At 39.0% G+C, this 6954-nt stretch overlaps 1 protein-coding gene across 28 annotated transcripts in view; it reads right to left on the bottom strand.

Moving 5' to 3' along the window:
- ZBTB1 (zinc finger and BTB domain containing 1) overlaps positions 1-6954 on the bottom strand; it is a 29978-nt gene that overhangs the window by 19543 nt on the left and 3481 nt on the right. For 12 of the 28 annotated variants that reach the window (XM_047431095.1, XM_047431091.1, XM_047431106.1 and 9 more), the window contains one exon: positions 2767-2902. The exons of 12 other annotated variants lie outside the window; for them this stretch is intronic. The gene's annotated coding sequence lies outside the window, so the exon portion shown is untranslated. Of the gene's footprint in view, positions 1-2350; positions 2499-2766; positions 2903-6954 lie in introns of all 28 variants that reach the window. 4 more of the 28 variants (XM_047431098.1, XM_047431092.1, XM_047431096.1 and 1 more) reach the window with 1 other exon arrangement.

The following is a 6954-nucleotide window of genomic DNA, read 5'->3' as shown; positions in this document are numbered from 1 at the left end:
AATGTAATGAAAGGATTCTTACATTTTAACATCAGAATATCAGAATCTATTGAATACTCATAATGTTCCTAACACTGGATAGAGCATTGAAATGGAGGGTGGAGAAGGATGGTGTACAATAGAGATAACTGTATATGAGGGATTAAATTTGAAACCAAGAAACAATTTGAGGAGTTTAATAAACTATATTGAGGCCGGTGCGGTGGCTCATACCTGTAATCCCAGCACTTTGGGAGGCTGAGGTGGGTGGATCACCTGAGGTCAGGAGTTCAAGACCAGCCTGACCAACATGGTGAAACTCTGTCTCTACAAAAATACAAAAATCAGCCGGGCATGATAGTGGATGCCTGTAATCCCAGCTACTTGGGGGGCTGAGGCAGGAGAATCGCTTGAACCTGGAGGCAGAGGTTGCAGTGAACTGAGATTGAGCCACTGCACTCCAGCCTGGGCAACAGAGCAAGACTCCATCTCAAACATAAAAATAAAAATAAAAATAAACTATATTGAATAAAGTTCAGCAAGAGTTTAGAAGAAAAGCGTTAATTATACCAAAATAGTAGGCTTTAGGAAGGATGTAGGATTTGAGTAAAGCCTTGATGAATGAGTAGGATAAACAGAAAGCAAGGGTGAGGCATTTCGAGTATTTATATAGATGTGTATGTAAATAATTGAGGAGGGTACACAGCAGCTTGGCTGGAAATGTAACAGGACAGAAGGTAGATTTGCTTTACTGGACTGGTAGATGAAGGTTATCAAAGTAGAGTAAATGACAACTGTAATACAATAATAATATGAATAGCTAACATTTGTTATGTCTCACTATATGCCAGGCTCTATTCCAGGCAGATGTATAGGGAGATGTATATATATCTCTCACAGATACATTACACATATACACATATGGATATATATGGATATATGCAATATATATGTGTGAGATATGCACACATATATTGCATATATACATGTATGTATATACATGTATGTGTGTATGTGTGCATATCTGTGTATGTATCCATATATAGGTATCATTTTATGTGTATGTATGCATATATAAGTATCATTTTAGCATTTAATCCTCGTAACAAACCCTACAAAGTAGATGCTGCTATAAGACTCATTTTCAAGATTAAATAACAGAGGCATACAGTGTTATATAACCTTTGTAATATCACAAAGAGAGGACTTCATGGGATTAGAACACAGGCAATATGACTCTAAGCCCAAGATCATGACCTTAAAGATTCTGCCATCTATAAAAATAATGTCACATTGGCAAAATTCTTTCCTAGAATACCATCTTGCAGGGTATAGGGTCCAATCTCTATTACATTCTCTAGGTTTCTCCTTGAAACTTCCAGGAATAACCAGTTGTAGAGGCTCCCAAAGATAAGAGGTTTTATTTCAACGCACTTAAGTGACAAACACGATCAAGTTTAGAAAATTTTATGCACTATCTGCACTGGTGGCTGTGCATTAGACTCCAAATTCAGTACTTAGTACAGGAAGTTCTGCAATTATAACTGGGTTATATCCTAAAACTTTATTTTTAATTTATTTGGAACTTGAAACACATATTCCCATAGAAACAATAATATAAATGGTGGCTTAGTTTTATACCCACACCCTAAAGACATAATGGAGCTATATATTAAGCCTAACAGTGCAGTAGTATTACTTGTATCATTAGCACTGACAAGAGATCCAAGGAGCAGTGTGATACAGCAATGCCTACTGTACTGAAGCCTCAAAGACAGGGACAAGGCTTAATGGCCTTTGTTTTCCTTGTGCCTAGCACACTCTTCCCACATAGTTGACACTTAATATGTGCTTGTCAAGTGAAGGAATTAAAAAAGAAGCCAGAGAGCATATACTGTTTGTTTGAATACAAACTCTACCACTAGTTTAGCTATGCGGGAACTTCTTTAAGCCCAATTTTCTCATCTATAAAATTGGGATAATCATACTTCTCAGAGGACTCTTAAATAAATTAGAGATGACAAATGTTCCTTTGCCTTTTCAATCCAAGCACAGTACAATTTAAAAAAAATTAATGTCATAATTACAGTTTATAGAATTTTATGAAATGATCAAGTTCAACCCACTGCTTTATAGATCAAAAAGCAAACTGAGGCCCTAAGAGGTTAAGTGGTATGTTCAAAGTCACATTTAGTTTTAGTGGCTGTCAGGATAAGACCTTGGTCTCCTCAATCCTGGTCTAGGGCTCTTCATACTACTCTAACTGCAGCCTACACATATAGCATCACCCGGCTGGCTGTTTTCTCCTCTGAAACAATTATGTTTTGCTGAAACATAGTAGTTGTTCAAATTTGCAAGGGTTTGCACCTACACAAAATGGCCTCAGACTGTTATGCTTTTGGAGATTGGGCTTTGTTGGCTAGTTAGTATTTTTCTGTCTCTTTACTTGCAAGCCAACAACTGTCACTTCTGAAAGGTGTGCTGATCTCCTGTGGCCCACCATTTCAATCTCTTCTTGGCTGTGAAATTAGACAAAAACTCATTGAAAATTGAATCTACATATCCATTCATCCTAAAGAGGGAGCACAACATCTTCTGAAGATCTAGGGAAATGCTCATAAGATGTAAAGTTTTAATTCCTGAATTTTGCTGACAGGCGATCATATTTCCTTCCTCTTTTGCATCAGGCCAAGGCACTGGATAGCTGAGGTTGCCAACCAAATAACTTACAAATAAGTGAGATGTTCCTGTAGTTCAGTTGCATTATATTCTAAGAAATGAACTTACCCACACAGAAAGCAGAAGGAACACAGTGGCTTCTGGAATATTCCTCTCTCCCTCTCCAGAAGCAGAGGAGGAAAAGTACATTTTAATCCATTCATCCTAACGAGACAGCACAGCATCTTCTGACCACCAGAGGGCACTGTGTAAACAGTAGGCTTTTCTCAGCTAAAAACGCTTCACCAGGAAATCCCTTATTGCACATGGCATTCATATTCTTAGGGTTCGTTTTGTAGGACTTCTATTTCAAAGTACTAATTCTGTGGACTCAGATTTTGTCTGGAACCCACTTAAAAATGCCCCTCCCTGTATTTTGTCTCAGCTGCCACCACTATGTACCAATCACCTAGACTACTTGGGAGCTACCTATAACTTCTCCCTCATAATCAACCATTAAGTGTTGCCAATTTTCCCATTAAATATTTCTCAAATCTGCCCATCTACTCCATCCCTACCTTTCCTGCTCTTGCAAGGCCTCTGTTATCACTCCTGAGTTATTAAAATAGGCTCAACCAGTCTCTCAAATCCTTCACTCTCAGGTAATCTTTTTCTTCCCAGAGCAATGCTGTTTTGAAGATGATTCATGAAGAAGAAAAATCATATCACACTATTCTACCATGGTTCCCCTCACATATCTTCAGACTAAAGTATAAAATCATTATTGAGGCATACAAAGCCCTCCATGCCCACCCATCTAGTCTTACATGTTTAGTTACTGCCTGCTTCAAACTTCATGTTCAAGCAACATAAAACTGCTCATCACCACCTTCACCCTCCTCCACACACATCCAGTATACTTCATAAATTTCTTACTTCCCCTGCAGTTTTACTCATGCCGATTGGTTCTTTGGGTCTGAACCTCCCAGATATCATTTAAAAATCAGTTTATCACCTCCTGCAGAAAGCCTCTGTAACACCTTCCTCTCCCACTATTTTAGGTTTTGATCTCATTGTGTATTACCTCTTTATTTTGCACTTTTTACACTGTATTTTAATAATCAGAACAGCTACATAAAGTAGGTGTTAAAGCACAAACTAACCAGACTGCCTGGGTTTAAATTCTGGCTCTGCCACTTATTAAGTGTGTGACCTTGAGAAGGTTGCTTAGTCAATTTGTGCTTCAATTCTCTAAGAAGGGATGGTAATCCTTTCTACCTCTGAAGAATTATTGTTAAGTATATCTCTCATGGAGTAAGTGCTAAATAAGAATTGGTTATAATTATGTGTTGGTCTCCCCCATGAGATTGTGAGCAACTTTAAGGCGAGGACTTTGGCTTTTTCATTTCTCTGGAATATTAAGTATTCAGTAAGTGTTACTGAATGAATAACTGGTGAGACAGCTCTATGATGATGGGAGGGATTACCCAGTTTCCTTCTTTGAGCAGATCCTACACTTTTTTTTTTTTTTTTAATTGAGACGGAGTCTCGCTCTGTCACCCAGGCTGGAGTGCAGTGGCACAATCTCGGCTCACTGCAAGCTCCGCCTCCCAGGTTCACGCCATTCTCCTGCCTCAGCCTCCAGAGTAGCTGGGACTACAGGCGCCCACCACCACGCCCGGCCAATTTTTTTTTTTTGTATTTTTAGTAGAGACGGGGTTTCACCATGTTAGCCAGGATGGTCTCAATCTCCTGACCTCGTGATCCGCCTGCCTTGGCCTCCCAAAGTGCTGGGATTACAAGCGTGAGCCACCACACACCCGGCCAGATCCTACACATTTTAAAAAAAATTGTATTGTTTCCAATTTTGTGGCTCCAGTTTTGTTTAATTCAAACCAAAATCCTGAAAACATCACAATCATATAATTGAAATTCAACAAAATGAAACCAATTTTAAAAAATCATAAAATGCATGTTCATTCTAAGAAACTTAACTCCATTTTTAAGCTTTAAGATTCCCCCGATCCCAAATAACCTAACACACCAAAAGCCTTGCCATTTCACACATGCTGTTCCTTTGCTTAGAACCTTTTCAATGTCTAGCTCACTCTGTTTGGGACTTCTTTTTTCTTTTCTTTTTTTTGAGACAGGGTCTGGCTCTGTCATCCAGGCTGGAGTGCAATGGGGCAATTTCGGCTCACTGCAACCTCCGCCCTTCCAGGCTCAAGCGTTCCTCCCACCTCAGTCTCTCGAATAGCTGGGACTACAGGCATGCGGCACCACGCCCAGCTAACTTTTGTATTGTTTGTAGAGACAGGGTTTCGCCATGTTGGCCAGGCTGGTCTCAAACTCCTGAGATCAAACAATCCGCCTGCCTAGGCCTCCCAAGGTGCTGGGATTACAGGTGAGAGACATTGTGCCTGGCCTCTTTGGGAAGTTTTTTCTGATCTTAGGGTGAGGCAGATGCCTCTTCTGTGCTGCCAAAACAGCCTATACATACAACAATATGGTACCAATAATGCATCATCCCAACTGTGATGCTCTGTTACCACACTTAAGGCAGATATTGCAATTATTTGGCTCCCCTGCTTTACTGCAAGCTCCTTGACATCAGGGCAGTATCTCAGTCATTACTGAATGTCTGACATTTAGTTGATACTTGATGAGTTTTTGAATGAATAAATGTTTAAACAGGTAAGTTTTATTTTGCTTATCAATTTTTTGTTTATTTCAATCATGGCAACTTTTATATAGTGGTTGGAAATTAAAATTAAAATTAAAATTTAAAGCATTTTCCCATACATTATACAACTGATCTCACAACCACCCTGAGATAGGTATTTTTATTATCCTCATTTTGCAAATGAAGAAACAGGTTCAGTGGCTGACTTCCCCAAAACTGCTTATCTTGTAAGTAGAAGCTGAGACTCTTGATTCAAAGCCCTAAGTTTCAGTTTGTGTAAACCAGACAACACTCTTCTGAATATGACTATTAGCTGAAGTGCCCCTTTGGAACATTCTAAGCCTCCTAGAGTCACCTTTTTCATGAATCTAAAAGCTCTCATCATTCTCTTACTGCTCCATCTTGCAGGAAGAATGTCCAGTCCCTTCCCTAAATCCCCTTCCATCTGCTAACTCCCCACTGTCCACCAGAGCATGCCTCTTCTAATACTTCAGATTCAAAGTGGGGATGGAACTCATCTCTAAAAACGACTGCATGCATCTCATATAGACAAAAGAAAATCTGGTTAATTCTTTAATCTTCAAATTTTATTTTGAAAACTATTTTAAATTCAAAGACAGAGTAGTATAAAAACCACCCACGTCCCCAACACTCTCAAATAACCAATGTTGTAATTAACTTTCTATGTACTATTTTGGGGCTCTGTTTTTAGATCATCATCAACTTCTTCACAGTTCATTCTTCTTAAATACACATGGCTAAGGAGTGAGACCCTGCCGCTTCCTCCCCAGTATCAGTCTCTTCCATGCCACATCTGAAAACAGCGGTCATTGACCCTTCTTTCGTCCAATTTCCTTTCCATATGTTCAGCATGCAATCTTTGGTGCTGATCAAGAGGAACCCCATCCCATATCAGCACAGGGATATATTGGCAGTGGTCTTCATGGCAAGTATACCCACTCCTTCCTAATTATAAATTATGAAACTCTCTATAAAGGTGAGGGTTTGCTTTTGTTTTCATGTGTTTGGCTGCTGTAAATCAATCCATCAGAGGCTGGGCAACAACATTAACATGAACAAAGTATGAAAAATAGCCCACCATGATACAGTAAGTATTTAATAAGGACAAACCTAAAATAGCAGCCCAGTTAATCAAATAATTTTAAATCAGCCCAATGCAAAACACTCCCCTTTCCTCTACCTGGCAATTCTTACCAACCTGAGTAATGTGAACAGAGAACATGAGTCCATGAATCACCACAGGCCATCCCCAGGCAGAGTGAGGCACACACAGCTGTGATCAAATGTTGCCTTCTCTCGTTTTAAACAAGGAATTAACTGTACATGGTGATTATCTCTGGGGAGTGGGAGTCAAAATGACTTTCATTTTTGTATTTTATGTACTTCAATACAGGCTGAATTTTTCAAAGAGCATGGATTTTATAATAAAAAACATTTCCATTTTGAGAAAAAATAGACACGAGTAACCCTTAATTTGGTTCACATAAGAATATGAGAAAAAATAATTTCACCATTTTAGCATGAGATACTAGCACAGAAGAAAATGTCAGGAGAAAACATTCTATAGAGACCAAAGTGACCTCTCAAGAAGATGTTTCTCAAATATACCTCAT

The sequence above is a fragment of the Homo sapiens genome, chromosome 14 (assembly GCF_000001405.40).
Source record: "Homo sapiens chromosome 14, GRCh38.p14 Primary Assembly".
In the NCBI taxonomy this organism is placed as follows: Eukaryota; Metazoa; Chordata; class Mammalia; order Primates; family Hominidae; genus Homo; species Homo sapiens.
Note: the sequence above shows the minus strand (reverse complement) of the source record. Positions and strands in the feature narration are given on the sequence as shown.